This window comes from Homo sapiens, chromosome 16 (genome assembly GCF_000001405.40).
Source record: "Homo sapiens chromosome 16, GRCh38.p14 Primary Assembly".
In the NCBI taxonomy this organism is placed as follows: Eukaryota; Metazoa; Chordata; class Mammalia; order Primates; family Hominidae; genus Homo; species Homo sapiens.
This window is the reverse complement of record NC_000016.10, coordinates 72810167-72831477: the sequence shown is the minus strand read 5'-3', so window position 1 is coordinate 72831477 and position 21311 is coordinate 72810167. Positions and strand designations below refer to the sequence as shown.

Sequence of the window (21311 nt, the reverse complement as noted above, 5' to 3'; positions counted from 1 at the left end):
GTAGGGTAGGGAAACTTGATGTTGACTTTATTGTGCAGTGAGACAAAGAAGGAGACAGAGAAATTATATGTGGAATCCTGAGTTGGAGATGAAAATAAACAGTACCGTATTTCACCTGTATTCCCAGTGACTGCCTCATAAACTCCCTCTTGGTGGTAAGGAAGAAAGAACGTTCCGTGACACTAGTTCAGTTTTCCAGACCTTGGACCTCCATCATCTCTTGAGTCAAGACAATCTGATTCTAAATAGACATCTTCTTCCTCAGTGTTTTAGAAACCCTTTGAGACCAATTTACTTTGTACTCCTGTTACTTCCTTCGTGAGATACATTTAGAGGCTGTTTTCTAGACAGTCAGAAGGCATGACATTTAGAAAAATGGAAAAGTAGCATTGGGGTAGAGGCTGTTTTCTAGAGGGTCAGAAGGCATGATACTTTAAAATACTGAAAAGTTGAATTGGGGTTGGACAGACCTCTGGCGGTGCTGGATAGAGGCCTGATCCAGTGTTCTAAGCCAGACCCAGTACTTCCTTGCTGGGGTCTGGTCTGCTGACAGATGTGGGCATCCTTGCCCTCACGCCTGTGTACCTGAGAAAATGTGCTCTTCACAGCCTCCTAATAATTTCATCTTTATTAAAATTATTTCACCTTGGTTTGTCCACTTTATTCATTCCCTTAGCCCACTCTTACTGAATGCATGTTTTGGATAATGTTTCGGAGGGCCAGGAAAGCAAGAGAGAAGTGTCTCCCCTTCTTTCCCTCAGCATCTAGAGTATCTTATTCTCTTCTTCCCCACTTGGCTGAACGACATTTGACTTCATAAGCAGCCTAGCGTTGGCAGCCGTCATTCTGCCTTCACTGTAGCACTGTGTACTGAACTGGAGAGAGGTTTCCTGCATTAGTTTTAAACCCGTAGTGAGTGAAGGATGGAATTGCTTCAAAAAGAAAGTGTACGACTCTGTTACAAATTTTTATCCCTTACTCTACAAATCTCACTTCCCACCACTGCCTCCTGGCATGTTCACAAGATACCATTTGGTTTCTGGAACTCTTCAAACTGATGAACTCATATCACTGATATTCTGTGACTCTTCGCAACCTGCATGACTTCCAACAATTCCCACACACTCTGGCACATGCATAGGCACTGTGAGCCCTGTGAGGGGTCAGTGACTGGGGCTGGTCTAGGCCAGTACCAGGAGGCTTTGGGAATGGAGCTAGGCATGAAGTGAACAGGTGGCCATGTTTTGCATTTTCAAGTGTAAAAGACTTGCATGCAACTTCAGGGATTCAGGTGGAGTTACTGCTTCAACCAGGATTGGTTTTTCAGTTAGAACTACTCAAGCGAAGCATTCAGAATCTATCTGGAAATACCTAATGGCCACACATCTGGAGCGAGTCACAACCTCATACCAACTGTTTACCCAGAAGGAAAGTCCCCACTGCTTACCCAGACCTCAGTATATCCTTAGCACCGTCAGTCTCCCAGGGGCCTCTGGAAAGAGAAGGGGGACGAGTCATTGGTGTCTGTTCTGTCGTTGGCAGTTGTTTGCAACAGAGGCCAAAAGTCCTTCATCTTCTTTTTATTTTTAACCCTTGACATGTTTTTCTTCTGTTTCAGAAGAAGCCATTGAAGATGTTGAAGGACCCAGTGAAACAGCTGCTGATCCAGAGGAGCTTGCTAAGGACCAAGAGGGCGGAGGTGAGAAAGACCAGGGCAAGTGGACAGGTAGTGTGTGTGGCTGTCCTTGAGCCTTCTCATCTTTCCTTCCCTGGAAGAATGGAGCTAACAAGTCAGGGAGCGGATACATCCTTAGTCTGCCCAGAAAAAGGATGAGTGGGAGGGAGATTTCGTTTGCTTCTTTGAGCAGTCACCTTTATTCTTCTTTATTATACTACATTATACTGTAGTTTTTAATGGTTAAGCTTTTTAAGTGGCACCAAAGCCAGCTTGCTTATTGAGTATCCAGGTAAGTGCCAAGCTGTGTGCAAGGGCATCTGGGTGTTGGTCACATCTCTTTGGTGGCTCTTCACCAAAATGCCCTTGATGTCATTCTTCCTCTATTGAAGGTCCAGTCGCTGGTCCCACCTGCTCCCAAGGCCAGTGGAGAGATTTGTCATGTGGAACTTGATCAGGGTCACCCCTGATTCTTAGCCTCAAGATTCTCTAAGGGTCAGGCACAGTGGCTCATGTAATCTCAATACTTTGGGAGGCTGAGGTGGGAGGATCACTTGAGCCCAGGAATTCAAGACCTGCCTGGGCAACATAGCGAGTCCCTGTCTCTACTAAAATTCAAAAAAAAAAAAAAAATGCTGGGTGTGGTGGCACACACCTGTAGTCCCAGTTACTCGGGGGGCTGAGGTGGGAGAACCACTTGAACCCTCAACTGGAGGTTGAGGCTGCAGTGAGCCCTAATCATGCCAGCCACTGCACTCCAGCCTGCGCGACAGAGTGAGACTCTATCTCGGGGAAAAAAAAAAAAGATTCCCAGCTGAGAGTAATGGCTCACGCCTGTAATCCCAGCACTTTGGGAGGCTGAGGTCGGCAGATTGCTTAAGCTCAGGAGTTCGAGACCAGCCTGGGCAACGTGGTGAGACACTGTCTCTACAAAAAATTAGGCATTGTGGTGCACGCTGGTAGTACCAGCTGCTTGGGGGACTGAGGTGGGAGGAATGCTTGAGCCAGGGAGGTCGAAGCTGCAGTGAGCTAAGATCATGCCATAACACTCCAGCCTGGGTGACCAAAAAATAAAAATAAAATAAAAATAAAAAATTACTAAGGGAGTCAGCAGTGAAGGGTGGTCTTTGTCCTGCATTTGGGGGCCTGGGCAGGGCCCTGCACAGGTGGTGCCTGCCCTGCATATTCTTCCTGTCCTCCCCCTCCCCCAGGGTGAGCACTCATGTGCTGAAATCCACCCAAAGGGGAGACAAGCAGTGCAGCCAGGCAGGGGGACATCTTACCCAAAGCAGAAGACATTGAAGAAGCCAAGACAGGAAGTGCTATTTCTGGAAAAACTGGTGTTGAGAGAAGGAGAACGGCCATTTCTCAAGATGATAAGCTTTCTATGTTGAGGGGAAGAAGAGCTGAGACTAAAAAAGCTTAGGGTTTTTGAGGAGGAGCAAAGTCATTTCAGAGAAGACTTAGGGGACAGTTAAGCCTTCTAGAAAATAATAAGAGGAAATGATGTGACGGGCAACAAAAATGATTTTATTTGGTCAACCTAATTCTTACTACCATTATTAATATTACAATACTTTTGTTTTTGAGAAAATGTTTACTTTCTGGAGTCCGTATTCGTTGGGCCTTTGTTACTTTTCCAGGCATGACTGTTCTTAAATCATGTTCGGTGTTGGACTTCACTATTTAAACAAGATACAGAATCTTGGAGAGAGGCCAGAAGAGAGCAATGAAAATGACTGAAGGGCTGAGAAATATTGCCTTTGAGAGGAGGCTGAAGAAATGGGTCATTCAGCCTAGAAAAGAGAAATTAGAGAGGTAGTACAATAGTTCCCAGATATCGGGAGAGATACGCAGGGCGGGTGATGTACCACTGTTCAGTGTTTCCTGGGAGACACAGAGAGGGCCATACTGCAGCCGAATGAATGGGCAGCACACCAGGTGGATTCTACTGTCCACTGTGCTTAGCATTCCCCTTCAGACTGGCCTGTGTGGTGTCCAGAAGCCTAAACTCCAGAAAACAATGAGGGTCAAACACCCTAGGCGATGTGTAAGGTAGGACCGAGGAGTGGAGGATGGACATCTGTGCTCAAAGGAAGGCCCTGAATGTAGTGGGGGACGTATCCTCCTGTGGGGCTTTGCCTGGACCAAGATCCCAGTTTTGCCTCAACGTTGAATGAGAGCTAAACAAATGGTTCACACGGCAATTAAACAGATCGCCAGGTGAGCTGGGGAAAAGGATTTCACAAACACAGTTTGAAGACTGGGTGACCTTCTGAGCCATCTGTCCTTTGTTGTCACGATTTGGGTGCTTGATTTCTAATCCTGGCTCTGCCACTCATTAGCTGTGTGACCCCACTCAAGGTACCTTGACCTTTCTGTGCCTCATTTTCCTCAGATGAGATGAAGATTAAAAATAGTACCTATTTCTGTAGGATTGCTACGAGGATTATTTGACTATGGGAAGCTCCGAACAGTGCTTGGCATGTTGTAAGCTCTATGTAAGTTGTTTGTTTGTTTAATGGTTTAGTGATATATAAGATGAGGAAAACTGGTAGCAGTTTCTCTTTGGGTCCTCTGTTGCAAGGCAGCATGTGGCTCCTGGGAATTTTGAGCTGAGGGAGAAGCAACATACAAGCATTTAATGGGATCGTGCGAATGATGTTTGGTGCGTATGTTTCGTGCATTTTGTGTGCTAAGGGCACTACGGAAATAATAAACAGGAGCCACCACTTGCAAAGTCCCTACTCTATGTGCTGCCTTATGCTAGCCACTCTATATGTGCCTCTCTAATCCTTCCAACCAGTTTAGGGCAGCCTTTGTTGAGAGCAGTTCAATTAAATCTTACTCAGAGTGTTTCTGATTCATTGGGAGTGTGTCTTCACAGCACTAGTGGACATGCTAGGCAATCAGGAGACTACTAAAAGACGTAAAATGAGCACCATAAAAAATGAATGTCCTTAATAAGGTTCCACTTTCTCATGCATTCATTCAAGCACCAGGCCTACTTAATCTTTACTTCCAAAAGACAGAGAGAAAATGAATGAATGAGTGATTGAATGAATAACTCAGAGATGCACCTTGCCAGCTGCACAATAGTAAAGAGAGAAGGGAAAATTCTTTCCCGACTCCTGCAAATGATCCTCTTTTGATCCGAAGCATAATTTTGTCTATAGTATCTGAGTGTGTAATGACAGGCTTTATTAAGGTACTTGGGCCGATTTGATCTTGGAATCGATACAGGTGCCAGCAACCTCCTCTGAGCTTTCTTCTGGATCCTTATTATTTTATATATATTTTTAAAACTACGTTTGTTCTATTCTCTCCCTAAATTGAGCTGTTCCTATCTGATTACATGTGACGGGGAATGCTTCCTCCTGGCAAGTAAATAAATAGTGATTTCACAATCTGTTATGTTGATTAGTGGCTGTTCATGATGCAGATTAATAATATTTCAGATGGGCCTGGATAATTGGCATTTTCTCAGCTACTGATTTTGTAGTTTTGGGGTTTGTGCAGGAATGGGTACTCTGTACTGAACACTTTCAGCTATTTATTTCTACATTTGGAGTGGGCCTCCTGGTTTCCTTTTTGGGGGTTCCTCTTTGGGATTCTTTTATTCAGATGTCAGGTCTTTTACCCTGGGTGGCAGCACAGCAAGCAAGATAGTGATCTGAACTGAGGTTGGGTCAATTCCACGATCAATGGCTGAGTCCCTACCCCATGCGAGGCACTGGGCAGAGTTCCACTGATCACAAATTCAGTGAGATTATAGGGCCTGCCTTCAGGGAATCTAACATTCTTCTGGGGATTTCAGGAACGCCCGTAGTCGTAAGACCGATATTACTATAGATCAGTGCTGTCGAATGGAACTTTTGGTATGGATAGAAATGTTCTGCATCTGAACTGAACAATACCATAGTCATTTACCACATATGGCTATTGAGCCTGCAAAGTGTGGCTGGTACCACTGAGGAATTGAACTTTAAATTGTATTTAATTTTAATGAATTTAGATTTAAGTAGCCACATGTGCAGCTATAGATACCCCAAAGGAACAAAACTAACCCTGAAAGAATGCATCATAGGTACAGCAACTTTCTGGTAATTATAACGGCTGCATAAAGCTCTAACCCTGTGCCAGGCACCATTCTAGAGCTTCACACCTGTCCTTCCCAGCAGGCATGCCATGAATTGCTCACAGGTACACAGGTCCTGCTTCATCTGTTTATCCCAATTTGCCATCATTTTCTGTGTGTGCCATGATGTGAAAAAAAGGAAGGTAAGAATCTCTAGCACATCGCCAAAAGGTATACAGACAGGTTCAGATTTACACACTGGCTTTTGCACTTATTCTAACTTAGGACAGAGCCCAAGCTCTTACCAATATACCATCTCTCAGAGAAGGATCATTTTCAGTTTGATCATTAGATCTAGTTTTCATCTATGTCTAAGTATAAGGAGTAGCAGTCTCCTGACATTGTACAGTGATCATAGTAACACGATAACCACCAGGATGTTCAAAATGAACTGGATTATCAACCATGGATATATGTCTTGTAAGGAGCTGGCGTTGTGCTCAGTCTGAAAGCGGGATGGTGATGTGGAAAGACTCTAGATTTGGAGTCAGGAAGCCCACCAGCCAGCAGATGACCTTGATTGAGGCACTTGGCCTCTTTCGGCTCAGGTACCTCCTCTGTGAAACATGGACAGGGGATATCCACTAGTCCCAACCGCCTGAGAGTTCCAAGAGGGTGAGTGGTAGCACATGAACAGGCCCTTGCGGGCACATCTTGTCAAGGAAAGTGTGATGTACTCCTGTGGGCCAGTGAAGGGTACAGGAAGGTTCTTTGTTCTCTTCCCTAATGCACAGCCATTGCCACTGTCCAACTTTGTGGTTTTCTCTTTTGAAACATGAAAATGACCCTTGTTCTCTTTTACCAGAATAGATTTGAATGTGTGTATTCTCGAATGAAGAGCCCCCCGTGTCAGCAACTGAGCAATGATTAATGCAGTGATTATCCAATTAATCATTATTTGCAATAAGTTAAGTGATATACAATTAATGTGATGCTTTATCACCAATAATTAGGGGAAAAATTGAACTCTTGGCAAAGAATCATAGCAAGATGGTTATTTAATTCCTGTAGTCGTCATGGTTTCCAGCCACAGAGTACCAGGCTGAGTCTAGTTAAGGTAATTTGGGACGAGATGACCAGAGGGTATTGGTGCTTTTGAAAAATGCGGGTTGGAGGGGAAGCAGGGAAATAGCTCAACTTGAAATGACACCACAATAATGCTTCAAAAATCCCTGACGTTCATATTTTTGTAAATTTTTGAGTTAGAATGGTAGTTTGAGTGTTTTCATTTTTCTAAAGGATTGGCCTGAAGGGATTTTACTTTATTAATTTTTTTAAATCTATGATGCTCACCTAACACAGCAATTAGTGCAGTGGAGCGTCCCTGATTTGAATCTATAGAAGATTGCTATTAAAGGAAGTATTAATGGGCTGGCAAGGTCTGGGTGACTGTTAGGGAAAAGTACGTTTATGGAATATGGTGCTGGCAGGCATGATTCCAATCGGATTTGACATGTTTAACATAAATGTATAGCGTATGGCTCCTGCTGCATATGAATAATTCCTACAGACCTGCTGCCTTTCTAATTACTGAGGTTGAAAAAAAGCAGGTCAGGCACATCCTGGTGCAAATCTATTACCAGCCCTCCCCCTGTTTTCCCTGTTGTTTACAGCTTTGTATAAATAGAGATGCCTTTGTATGGGGAACTTAGTGCCTGAAATATAATCTGTGACAAAGAATGGAAAGGGGCTGAAAAAATACTTTTTTTTTCGTTTTTCCAAATTGAGTCTCTAAGGACAAAAGAAGGTATGTGCTGAGAGGAAACGTGTTAGGAAAAATACAGGACTCGTAGGAGTCAGAAGCCCTGGGTTCAAGGCCTAATTCCGCCACTAAGTTCACCTGCGTGACCTGAGGTCTCTGGACCTCAGTTTCCAAATCTGTAAAGTGGCAGGTTGGACCAAATGGGTTATTAACAATTCTGGAGCTTCATAAATTATGACTGGGGTAGGGACAGTTGTAGAGCATTATAGAATCTTGGAGCATATTAATTACTAAAGTTGGAATGCTAATAACTTTCCCAGATTTCTCTTGTCTGTGGCTAGTTAATATACCCTGGATAAAAGGCTCAAGGCTTTCTCAATGGAGGTCAGGCAGCACCAAGGCTACTTTTCTTGATGGAATGTCTGAGCACCATATGCCCTTACCTAGTTCTGTGTTCTTGGGACAGACACACTGTGTTGTCAGAGGCAGTGTGATGAGGACATCAACAGAGGAGTCCTTGGAGACTCACATGGGTGCCTTTGAGTGGCCACTCATATCCCAACCCTGTTGTTGACTAGAAACCAGGCCATTCAACACCACCACCATACCTCTACAAAAATCATTTTGGCCTAACTCTGTATCTTTCTGGTACTTGGTTTCATTTCTCCACCTCACCCAAAAGTAAATTTGTCTTTGCAGTAGGATGCATGTGAGGGAATACTGGGAGCCCATTTTGCGTGGCCCCTTTGTGGTTCATGGTCCTGCCAATGGAAACCATTTTTGGTTTTATGTTTTCACACGTAGATTGGAATTGTGTGACTGTGTCACCTTTTCCAGAGTCAGCTTGTGCCCCCTTCTCTCACTCCCCACTCTTTTTTTTCCAGGCCACTTTCAGTATACTTGGCTGCTTAAAGTCACTGCAGGCGGAATTCTGTCTCACAATTGAAAACAAATCATGAACTATTTTTATGTTGGGAAGCCAAAATAGATACAGGCTGTGGTGTATATCTGGACTTGCCCAAATTCCAGTTAATTCAAAGGTCTTGGCTTTGAGAATTTATGTTGTAAGTCATAAGAGAGATAGGGACCACATCAGTTGAACAAATATTTTCTTGCACACATATCTAAGGCAGGTACAGGACATGCAAAAAAAAAAAAAAAAAAAAACTCACTTTCTAGAAGTGTTGTCATATGTAATCACAATTATGACACAGTATAATGAGAACTATCATCAAGGTATAGATAAAGGGCAGTGAAAATGTAGATTAAGGAGCAAATCATTGTTCATCACTATAGAAAATACCTTATAGATTTGCATATTATTCTTACAGAGTGGCCATGTTAATCTTGCCTGCTTTGTTCCAGCTTTAACTTTTGTGCCAATTGTAAAGTACCTCTGTTATTATAATCATGATTATTTAAAAAAAATACCATTGTGCCTTTCCATGGGGGATATTAGAGCACGTTCATTAGGTTCTCATATTCTTCTTGGGTCCAATGCTACCTTCGTTTTGCAGCCTCGAGAACTAAGCCTCACAGATTGGGAACTCGGGTGTCAGAGTTGCAGTCAAATCCCAATTTGCCTTCTGAGTCAGATATATTTTCTACATTATAAAGCCAAAGAACATGTAACATTATCACTTTCTCTACTTTTAGGAAGGTTGGAGGAGGAGAACTTAAATTCTATGCTTCTCTTGTTGTCAGATAGAGTTTGTCAGCTGTTTATGGTTAGGAGCTATGTGGCAACCATTGATTTTTGTAATCCCCAGCACCTAGCAAGTGCTTAATACTGTTTAGATGTTTCGTTAACAATCAATTGGTAAAATAGCATGACATAAGTACCTTTAAGTCCAAGTTATTCTACTTTCTGCTTTGTAGACATTAAATCCATGGGTTAATAGGATTGTTTCATCCTGGTATAGAGAAAAGACAAATTTAAGGTGTCTTTGCTTGTCTTAAAAACCAAGTTTCAGTGTTACAGCTTTTAGAATTTGTCTAGCAGGCTTTCCGCTCTTCATTGGAAAGCCCATAAAAACAAAAAAATAAACAAGTTTCTCCCCTCGTTCTATGGTTTTATAGCCCCAGCAGTATTATTTCCCAATCCTTCTAAAAAAGAAACCATAGCAACAAATGTTTGCGCTTTCACTATGTGCCAGACTCTGTGGTAGGCATCATATGCCTGATCTCTGGCTAGCGGCACAGAAACCATGTGTAGACAGTGTTATCCCATTGACAGATGAGGAAACAGAAAGCTCAGTGTAGTCAGATAGGATGCTCGAGGTCACACAGCCAGGATGTGAACCAACTGTGACCAGCGCTACAAAATATTGTGCTTTATTACCTAGCAAGGGGGGCTGAATGATGCCTTCGGGTAAAGAGAACTTGGCCTTAGGCAAACAACAAGTGAAAAAACATCAGTTCCTGAGGAGTACCTGAAGGTGCTCCAGAACCGCCTCCCCATGTCTTCACACAGGTCACTTATCCTAGGCCTTTGGAGCGCTGTGAGTGAGCTGAATGTGGGAACTCAATGGAGACGGAAAGCAGCACTGATATTAAATATAAACATTACACAATGTAGGGTGTCTATCTCTCTGTACTGTACAAAATGCCAAGAGATGTTGACAGTCTTTGTAGTGCTTAAATCTGGAGGGGAAAGTGGAGAATCATTCCCATTTTCCAGCCTTGCAGGGACCTGAGTAATGTCTTTCTTCCCTAAGTATAAGTTCTCACATTTTCCTGTGGAACCTGACTAGTAAAAAGAAACCCTAGGTGGATCATGAGGGAAGGCCAGTTTGTAAGGTTCTGATAAGTTATATTCAGCAGTTCTCCCTGTCTGTCACCATTCTGGACACACACCCACATTTTACCTGTTTATGTTCACAAGTTCACTTTCACTCTTAAAATTTAGTATTTTAGGAAGATAGATTTGGAATGGAGAAGAAACCAGAAGAATATTGTTATATTGCAGTGTCTCAGAGTCTAGACTGTGTTGGGGCTCAAAGACCCTAACTAACCTAATTATTGTTTGACTCGGTGGAGACTGAATGGCCCTCTGTTAATTAACTTTGGCCGGATCCTAGAATGACTCGCATGCGACTGGTTTTGATCTATGTCCTGCACCTCTGGGCTTTTTCCTCTGTTGGTCCAAAGGTTTCTGAGGTTCCTTCCCACTCTGGTTGTCTTCACAGTCCTGTAATAAAGCCACAGGGAAGCGTAATAAGTGCAGACCCCCTAGTGTGTCCCTGGACTGTGGCCACCCATCCTCACAAGATACCATGGCCATAGCTGCAGTAAGCTATGCCAGGGGAAGACAGCATATTTTGGGGGAACCAACAAGAGGCCAAAGACAGGCAGGTTGACTCAGTACCTCAAAGTCAGGAATCAGGTCAAAATCAAAATCAGGAATATTTAGCAGGCCTCCAAATCCTGGCATGAGCCGGGCTCACGGTGGCAGTCCAGTGCCTATAATTTATTAAACAGACCAACAGCTGATGTTGGTCTAAACCAGGTGGTGGCTCTGTTTTGACTGGTGGTTCATTTGCAAACCTGACACAGAGGGAGCAAGGTGTCTTGAAATTGAAATGTGGAATGGCCTTTTGGGAACTCAAATCAGTGTGGTTAAGCAGCCTTATGCATACTTCAGCAAGGAATTAGTGCAACAGATTGATGTCTCTGATGTAGGGCTTAGCACTATTTTTCTCCCAAAATACGCAGAGCAAGCAGCAGCACCCACCGGTCAGCGTGTGCCCACCATCCCACCTTGAGGCTTCCAGAGCCTGCCAGAGAGGCTGCTTCCTGCAGAGAAAGCAGAGGCCCCACAGAATGGTGCCTGAACCCCCATTCCCAGATTGCTGACTTGTGCAAATGGGGGCTAGCATAGATCTGTGCATGCTTCCAGGGCTGAAGCAAAGAGGGCCTTCAGCTGCTGAGGCCTGCAGGTGCCTGACCGAGGGAAGCCAGCACTAAAAAGACGCTTCCTCTTTCTGCAAGGTGGAAGGAGCCCACAGGTATTTGCCCTCTTTTCACAGAGGCTCTCCAGGACAGGACATGTGGAAAGAAAGAGATTTCTGTAAACAAGGAAGTCTGTCCTTATTCTGGATTACGCTAACAGAACACATGGAGCTTATTCCTTCTGAATTTCTGGTTTTGAAGGTGTCTGCATTTGTTTTAGAGTAAGCAGGTGGCCTGAGGGTGTTTTAAAACATCTAGGCTATGAGACCAAACCTGGCTGTCATCCCTGAGTTTAGATGAGAGTATCATGTCATCAGAGCCATTTAAAGTGGACTGACAGATTGGCCCATGCTTGCTGGGCCCTCTCATTTATTTCTAGTTAGACCACAAAGCAGCGTGGTTCCTACCTATTACACAAAGCCTTGGCTCTGACCACTGTTCTCAAAGTGTCGTCCCTGGACCATCAGCATTACTTGGGAACTTACTGGAAATGTACATTATCTGACTCAGACCTACTGAATCAGAACCTTAGGGCAGGGGCTGTGATCTGTGTTTTAATGAGCCCTGCCCGGGAGTCTGACACATTCTGGCATTTGCTGAACCTCAAGGCTGCGATCTCAGTGACAAGCGTGAGGTTTTGAGATCGACTTCTTAACTAGACAGTAAGTCCTGAGCCCTTGCTGGGTTAGGGAGGCATGGAGCTTTCCTAAAGGACAGGGAAGGTGTATGACAGGCATAGGGCCCTAAGTCTTGGTAGATGTAAGCAAGATTGGGGGTGGGGGAGAGGGAGGGAGGGAGGGAGCCGGAGAGGCAGGGTCACGATGAAGAGTGATGGAAGACCTGGAAATCTTTATCTAAACTGCTTAATAAGTAACACCTGGGTGAAGTGTACATGGGTCCTCTCTATGCTGTTCTTGAGACTTCCTGTGAAGCTATAATTATTTCCAAACAAAAAGTAAAATCGTAATAATAACAACTAAGAGCTGCTGGATTTTTAAAGTGCTGACCTATTTTGTTCATATTTAAGTTGGAGAAGAAAAATAGCCTTTCCCTGAGTAACTCTTATACCTATGTGTAGTATAAATCAAATTTTCTTTGAAACCCTTTTTAGAAACAAAAGGCCTGTGAAGTTGATAGAACCTCTGTGTCTTGCCATACCTTTGTAAGCATATTCTACTTTTAGGGGTAGGTGTTTTCTAGGGATATACGGGAGCGAGATAGCTTGCATTTCCTTAGAATAAGACTGTGTTTTGAATAGAAGGTTCTTAACTTCACCAGGCTGGATGTTGAGACAGATTCTGCTTCTTTGATTAGGGAAGAGAGAAGCCTCAGTTTCTTTTTAGCTGTGGCCTGAAGACCGCCCCCTGCTGAGTGAACATGTGCGTGCATCTGCTTCACACAAATCCCCTTCCCCTCTTCCCCTATTCCTCTTGGAAACATCTCTAAGTGCTTGGTTGGAGGCAGAATGAGACCATGCATGTTTAAAGACCAAGTTGGCAGGAAAGCAGATTCTTTAAAGGAACTGTTGTTCTCTCTATTGGGGGGAGGAAGAAAATTTAGCTAGATCTTTGGCCACTTATCAAGTGCAGTAGCTCCACAGGAGATTCAAGTAAGAAAGCCCAGCCTGTCCTCTGGGGAAGGAATTGCAAGCAAATGCCAAGAGTAACTCTACTTTCAATGAAAGTCAGATCACAAAATCCAAAAGCACAGATGACCCTCTGGAAACATTGCATTTCTGCTGTCTAGTGGGAGCATGAGGTATGAGAAGCTGAGAGAGAGGAGCTATGGGAAACACACATTTCACCTTCCATTTAATTATAATTATGAGCTGAAGGACCATTTTCAGATCTGGTGATACATCTGTGTCTTGTGTGTTGGAATAGTTATCCCAACTCAGACATTAAGTATGGAGCTATGTGAATTTCTTTTTTCGCTAGTCAACGGAGATAGAGAAAAGATTGCTGTAAATTTCTGGGGCAGGTGGCAAGCTGGTTTACGGAATGTAAGGCGATGAGAACCTCTGGCTTACGGAAAGTAGCATGAATTAATAATCATTTAATTGGCTCCTCCATTATGTTGCTGGTTTGGGAGATGGAAATTTAGATGGAGGGGCTGTCAGTGGTACTTTTTAGCTAAGAGTCTGATGGTTGAGAGGTGGGGGTGGTGGCTGCCTTTGGATTCCCCACAAGGTTCAAGTGTCAGGCAGCATCCCAGACCCTCAGTGGGCTCACCTCAGGACGCCAAAAAGGAAGAGGATCAGCACTTCGGTGATTACCACCTCCAGGAGTCACTCCACCATGAAGAGATGCAAAAGAAACTTCCCAGTAACGTGGACAGCTTAATGCCTGCCCAGGATCTCCCCAAGGGAGGGAGGCCTCTGGCCAGAGGGAGAATGGTCTGCATCGTAGGATGCAGCCATGCCAACAGCGCACTGGTGTGTTTAGTGATGAGAAGATGAATTTTGCTTAGGAAACACAGAAACTAATTCTACCAGTATGTTGGTTTTCTTGGAGGGCAAGTGGATATCTTGAAAATGAGGGACCTTAAGGTTCCATGTTTTACTTCATTTCCAGTTTTTCTTCAGGCTTATCTTTGATGAAGCAGCAACTCCACGCCTTACTTGGCTTCAGAGTTGTACAGAGTTACTAGATGAGAAATGAAGCCTGTGTTGGCATTAAGTCCACTGGGATTGCAAGCACAACTCTTAAGTTTTCTGTGGCCAGAATTTCAGTGATTCGGATGTCGAATTTGTTAGCAAAGATTGGGATCACATGAGAATTTGTTCTAGCAAGAATGGTTTTATCAGATGAAGTTATAAGGGACTGTGAATGTTGAAAGGCTGTGCTTCTACCATCTTTGTCCACTTGACAAGTTTTCTAAGTGATACTGTTCCTTAAAGTAAGTCACTTCCTACACAAAGTTTTGCTAGCCATATTTTCATTATTCTATATGCTTACAACGTAATAAAACCATTTCTTGCAAATTCCAAACAAAACTTTGCATGAATGCTTATCAGCTCTCTTCCCTATTCCCTCTAACTAACATGAGTAGAGGGGTAACTTTTAAAGTAATTATTTTTAGAGGTTTAATACTTCTAAAACAAATATGATAAAATCAAAGGATATCTGGAAGTTGGTGTCTCCATGCATAAATGATTTTCCCCCTAAGGGAGCCATGTATTGACAACTGTGCTTCCCTTTGAAATGAAATTCTTTTGCCTAGAATGCAGAGGAGCCTAAGAGGATAAAATAGACAATCATGAACAGGTTTGTTTCTCTCAGTATTTGTCTTTGTGAGTTTTAGTTGGCCAACTCATCACAGAATGAGGAGAAGTGGTGGCTGTTGGCCCAGAGAGCTGACTTTTGAATTTTCTGAACTCCATAACAGGGACATGCTAGTCTTTCCTGTGCCTCATCAGCACGCGTTGGGTAGGGCCACCATAACACTAACAAGCAGAGCAAGTGCTTTCTCACTCCCTGGAAAGTCTGTGTGGCATGGAATCCATAGCTCACGTCCTGTTAAGTTTGAGTAGGAGTTTGACCCAGCATTTCGTTGTCACAATATCCCATTTACCTAGCTTTATAGAGTTTGTCATCTATAGCGCATTCAGTCGCATGATTCCTTACCACATTTTTATCCCCTTTGAAATCCCAGGAGCCCAACATGTTGCCTATGGAAGATTCACTGAGATTTAACACATATTTTCATATTTTATAACTGCCAAAATGAGAGAACTTGCTTTTACCAGCAAAGTAAAAAATACCATCTGATGTTTTGCACAGTATAGAGCCAATACCAACTTTTTCATGGACAGTTGAACTTAAATGATAACTGTAATATTAAAAATAAAATGACTATGTGAAAAACTTAAAGTGTTCCATGATGTCATCACCTAAAGGCAATGATCATTTTCTTCTAGTCTTTTTTTCTAATACCTACTTTTTACATAGCTGTAACATGGGATAATACACATTTTATCTTCTTTTCTGATTTGCATTCTCAATGATTTTTCCATATTGCTTCATAGCAATCAGTTTTAATGTCTTCTAATACTCAGTAGAATGGCCATGCCATTGTTTACTTATACCATGCCCTATTGTAAGATATCTAGATTGTTTCCAAATCATTTTGTGATTATTGTACAAACCACTAGAGTTACTAACGCTTCAAGTTGTTTGTTTTTTTGTTGCCGATGTAAACCAAAGGTTCCAGACACCAATTGTCTAAACTATGTCTTGTCTCTGGAGTGCATGTATTTCCATTTCACTTATGTGACATCATCGCAGGCTTAAAGTGACCAGTAATTGATTTTTAAAAGTGTTTTGTATATTGTGACATGTCTTCTAGAGTTTAAGTTTAGAAAAGCCTTCAAAGTGAGAAACCACAGTACTTTCTCTCTTGGTATTCATACAACTTCATTTACTTATGCCCACGATGTATGCTAGTGACAGAACTGAAGTAGAAATTGATTCTGAGACTCTGGCCCTTTTGAAGCTGTTCAGAGAGAAGAAACTTGAGAGAACCTCTGACTGTGGTCTGTGATAAACCCTCATCCAGCATAGCATGTTGATGGAGAACTTGCACAACTCTTTTTTTTTTTTTTTTTGAGACAGTCTCACTCTGTCACCCAGGCTGGGGTGCAGTGGCACAATCATGGCTCACCGCAGCCTCAACCTCCCAGGCTCAGGTGATACTCCCACCTCAGCCTCCTGAGTAGCTAGGACTATAAGCACTTGCCACCACGCCTGGCTAATTTTTGTAATTTTTGTAGAGATGCGGTTTCACCATGTTGCCTAGGCTGGTCTTGAACTCCTGGGCTCAAGCGATCTGCCCACCTCAGCCTTCCAAAGTGCTAGGATTACAGGCGTGAGCCACTGCACCTTGCCAGAACTTGCACAACTGTTTGCCCATCTACAGAAATGGTGTAACGACTTTGGTACGATGTCTTGATAGGGACTGACATTTTAATGTCTGAGGTCAAGCAAGGGAGGGGCATGTGTCAGCCATAGTTAACTCTTAGGAGCCATCCCCACATCACTCAGGCAAACACAATGAGATTGTAACTGGGTGTTTATAGAATCTGTTATAAGGATGGCATTGCTTTATCTTTAGAGAAGGGGCCAGTGAGCTGCAGGTGGCTAATATCCACTTCTAGACAGATTTGATCTAATAAAGGTGCAGATTGTCCTAGATAGAAACTAGATGAACCTGAAGTTTGTGCACCAGTGGATGCAGCATTTCATGTTAAAGCAGGGCTGTTGTATCACTGGGAAGAAAGAAAAATGAGTGAGCAATTGGTGATTTTATTTTTTAAAACACTTTATAATGGGTCCTTAGCTCAAGCTCACAAAAGAAGCTTTAGAATTCCAGAGCAGTTTGAGTTTGGAAAAAAAAAAAAAAAAGAAGTTCCCCTCTCCATGCAGGGGGAAAGAATAGTGGCTTCTGAAACCAGAATTCTCACCTCTGCAACCTCACCACAATTCATCATGTGTTCAGCATTCAAGGAAGAGGATGGACTCTTTGGTCCTATGAGGAAACTAATGCTGCACTGGGTTACTGTGTTTGCTTTTCAGCTCTGGGAGAGTGAGATGAGTCGGGTGGTCTCAGCCTCGGTGCCCATTCATCCACACTATTGAGCAAGTGCACAATTGACTCATTCCATAGTAGGGGGCAGGCAGATTGAGGGCATTTACAAGGCAGTCACAGTCCTGTAAAACAGGTGTTGTTTTTAGTCAGGCAGAGTAACAAAAGGATGGGGATGGGTGTATGGAATAGAATCTATGTCTTAGTTTGCCTCTACTGGAAAGAGGAGCAGATAGCAGCTTTTTCCTAACTATATATACCCTGAGCCTAACCTAATGCCTACTGATTGGAGTTCACAATAGAGAAGGTAAAGAAATGGCTGTGACAAATAAACACTGGAAGTATTATTTGATGCCCTCACCCACCCCATCTTGAGAATGCATTTGAAGAGTTAATATATAGAAGATAACCACTAAGCAAAAATCAAAATGATGGAGAATAAGGAAGTTTCTGGGGGCAAGGGAACTTAAGTTCCTGAAACATTAATTAAGGACTCCAAATGTAGATGTGTTCAGGAGCGGCCCATCACACTGCAAGGTCTCAAACCTGCAACGCGACGTTCCATAGGATCAGGTCTGAGCGGGGCCAGGAGATGGGAAGTAGGCCATGGGGGAACTGGTCTAGAATGTTGCAGCACCTAGTTAATCGGCAGCCATTCCATCACATTAAACATCCAGCCGTCATGTATTACCTTTCAAGTGAAAATGAATAACTCCCATTAAGAGCAAAATGGGTTTGAAGTCGATTCGAGACAGATTAAAATACTGTTATGAATGTGTGTGTTGGGAGGAGGAGGATCTGTGTGTAATATGCTCGTCCTTGTACTTTTTAAATAATAGATGTCCTACAAACTTATGTAGACCAGGTTACCAAGATACTGGGGTTAAAGGTCACAAGATGTGCACTCTGGGAAGAGCATCAACTTCCTGGAATATATTTCCTGCATTTGGCAAATTTCTTTTCAAAATTATATTGTGGCCTTATGATTTTAATGAATAAAATTGATTGTCTAAAATTGTTTATTAAAGTAATGACAGCATCTTGGTGTCCACATCAGAACAAATTTCAAACCCAAGCATAAATGGAAATATATGCCAGATAACTAGACAGGGTAAAACAGAAAGCAGTTTAACAGGGAATAAAAATTGGGCTTTCTAATTCAGTGACCTGAATGCTGAGTCACATTATTTTTTCATGAGGGAAGTGGGTATATATATTTTCTCACTACCACTTTTATTACTTTTTTTTTCTTATTGCTTTAAACAAAATTCTGAAAAATGGAGTCCCATATTCAAAACAAATGAAAGAGCCAACACTCAGATATTGACCAGGTTATGGAACAACCAGATCCAACCATACTGTGTTTAAGCTGGAGGAGCCTTGCTTATCCTGGATAAACCCTTAGCCTGGCTGTTTTCTTATCAAAGTGTTTGCCTCTACTGGAAGGAGGAGCAGATAGCAGGTTTTTCCTAACTATAAACCCTGAGCCTAACCTAATGCCTACTGATTGGGGTTAAAAATAGAGAAGATAAAGAAATGTTTCCTTTCCATCCTTCAGAGAACTCCTCCCACCAGCACTTCCGTACGTGCTGTCTGCTGCTCAATCCTCATGGGCCACTCCTCTTTAAATAGCGTTTGGTTTTTTTGGTGGTGTAAGCAAGAGGGGCATGGAGGCATGGTTTGGGCAAGCAGATAGGAAACTTTCCCTATTCCCACCCACTCTGAATAAACTCTTGGGTCTGGAGCACTGGCTAGATTATATCTTGGATTCAGGCCCTGCCTAGTTCCACTCCTCAATTATTTCTTCCCCAAAAGCAAACTGCTGAACCCAAACTTGATTTTTTTCCCCCACATATTTGGTGTGCTGATACTCATGTGAACCTTTCTCAAATCACATTTTTCATGTTGCCAATGCTGTGCCATGTTGTGATTCCAAGAGGAGGGACAATAAAGTTGAGAGCACATCTCTTCTTACATTTCTGAAGCAGAGCATGTCTGGTACTGAGGCTGGCAAAGCAATTGGTGAGACTTTCCCACCCACCCTCAGCCCTACTGCCCCCCACAAGCCAGCAGATTGTATCTAGATTGGGGGAGGTTAGAACAGACTGAATTTAGCTTAATCCAACTCCAGAGCCTTTTATTCCATTTCTTTGCCTTCTTTTCCTAATGTTCAGTTGTTAAAGTAGTGACAGAAATTCATGGGGGAGAAAGAAACACTTGCTTCTTTTCCAACATGCTTGATAAATCAGTCCGGATGTTCATCCTTCTTGAATTTTGGTGTTTTAAGAAAATCCTGTGCTATAAATGAATGTTGATTTTCACCCAACACAAACCCTCTGGGAGCTGGCCTGGTCTGGCTGCTGTATTGCATCTTCTACTTTCTCTTTTAGCATCGTCCAGCCAAGCAGAGAAGGAGCTGACAGATTCTCCTGCAACCTCCAAACGCATCTCCTTCCCAGGTAGCTCAGAGTCTCCCCTCTCTTCGAAGCGACCAAAAACAGCTGAGGAGATCAAACCGGAGCAGGTGAGGCTGGAAGGGACTCTGCTGGTGGGGAGGTGAGGTGTTTTAGACATTGGTAGGGAACAAACTTTTGGGTGGGCGGGCTTGGGGCACACACAGTTGCTCAAAGCAGTGGGTGTGTTCCCCACAGATGTACCAGTGTCCCTACTGCAAGTACAGTAATGCCGATGTCAACCGGCTCCGGGTGCATGCCATGACGCAGCACTCGGTGCAACCCATGCTTCGCTGCCCCCTGTGCCAGGACATGCTCAACAACAAGATCCACCTCCAGCTGCACCTCACCCACCTCCACAGCGTGGCACCTGACTGCGTGGAGAAGCTCATTATGACGGTAAGGCAGCCAGGAGCAGCACCCTGTGGTCTTTCTCCAGGGTCAAAGGTGATGCAGTAACATGGGCAAGATACTGTATTATTGGACGAGAAAGTCAGTGTAGAGTTGGAAACGTCAGAAAACAGTCCTTGTTCTGTGACCTTTGTTGTACTATCCCTGCCTTAGACTTGGCATGACCATAGCCCAAAGTGCTGAACATGTGTTTCTCAACCTCCCTTATCATCCTCTCTGCCCTCAGGGGACAGAGGCATGGATTAGCTAACCATTTATATGAAGAAATCATTATTCAAATTCTTCAAACCTTTACTGAGCAGGTCATGAACTAGATTGCTCTTACCTTCATTATGTCTCATTTCATCCTCATAACAAACTCTGTTTTTGTTGTAAAAGGGAGCCAGGCACACTAGCTCACACCTCTAATCCCAGTTCTTTGGGAGGCCGTGGTGGGGGGATTGCTTGAGGCCAGGAGTTTGAGACCAGCCTAGGTAACATAATGAGACCCCATCTCTACAAAACATACTTTAAAATTAGCAAGGCACAGTGGTGCATGCACCTGTTGTCCTAGCTACTTGGGAGGCTGAATTGGGAGGATCACTTGAGCCCAGGAGTTTGAGGTTGCAGTGAGCTATGATTAGGCCACTGCGCTGCAGCCTGGCTAACAGAGGGAGACTCTATCTCTTTAAAAAAAGAAAGAAAAAAAAATTTTTTTGACACATTCCCATCAGCAGATAAGGAAACTGAGGCTCAAAGATGTTAACTGACTTGATGCCATTTGTAAGGAGCAGAGTTGAGATTTGAACCCGCAATTTCCAACTCTAGGGTAGGGAGTTTCTCAGTGGATACTTTGATTTTTAAAGCAAGAAAATGGTGAGCTGGATATTGCTGATTCGTGAATGTGGGTTTTGCATTTGAACATGATATTGCTACAACTGCAGATTTTGAAAGCATGCCCCTAAGTGACCACTATAAACATGGCCTAATTAGTGTAAAGATGTAAATCTAATTGTAATATAAAAACTTTTCAAAATAGTGCCAGTGATGGTGATGTCCTACTTTTGACTATGTTGGTGCTGCTATGAAAGTCATTTCCTGGCCAGGCGTGGGGGCTCACACTTGTAATCCCAACACTTTGGGAGGCCAAGGCAGGTGGAACACCTGAGGTCAGGAGTTCAAGACCAGCCTGGCCAACATGGCGAAACCCTGTCTCTACTAAAAATACAAAAATTAGCCAGGCATGGTGGTGGGTTCCTGTAATCCCAGCTACTAAGGAGGCTGAGGCAGGAGAATCACTTGAACCCGGGAGGCAGAGGTTGCAGTGAGCTGACATTGCGCTACTGCACTCCAGCCTGGGTGACACAGCAGGACTCCATCTCAAAAGAAAAAAGAAAAAAAAGGCTGGGCACGGTGTCT

The 21311-nt window shown here is 43.3% G+C and overlaps 1 protein-coding gene, 1 long non-coding RNA gene and 1 pseudogene across 13 annotated transcripts in view; 2 read left to right on the top strand and 1 right to left on the bottom strand.

Moving 5' to 3' along the window:
* The window catches only part of ZFHX3 (zinc finger homeobox 3), a 1109046-nt gene that overhangs the window by 1060453 nt on the left and 27282 nt on the right, over positions 1-21311 (top strand). For 8 of the 10 annotated variants that reach the window (NM_001386735.1, XM_047434166.1, NM_001164766.2 and 5 more), the window contains 3 exons: positions 1619-1699; positions 19440-19573; positions 19701-19901. In NM_001386735.1, the coding sequence (NP_001373664.1) occupies positions 1619-1699; positions 19440-19573; positions 19701-19901 (416 nt within the window). The remainder of the gene's footprint in view (positions 1-1618; positions 1700-19439; positions 19574-19700; positions 19902-21311) is intronic. The other 2 variants (XM_024450291.2, XM_047434168.1) reach the window with 1 other exon arrangement.
* On the top strand, positions 9486-9543 carry RNU7-71P (RNA, U7 small nuclear 71 pseudogene; annotated as a pseudogene).
* The window catches only part of ZFHX3-AS1 (ZFHX3 antisense RNA 1), a 156522-nt gene continuing 145034 nt past the window's right edge, over positions 9824-21311 (bottom strand). For all 3 annotated transcript variants that reach the window (NR_171702.1, NR_171703.1, NR_171704.1), the window contains one exon: positions 9824-10705. This is a non-coding gene — a long non-coding RNA (ZFHX3 antisense RNA 1). The remainder of the gene's footprint in view (positions 10706-21311) is intronic.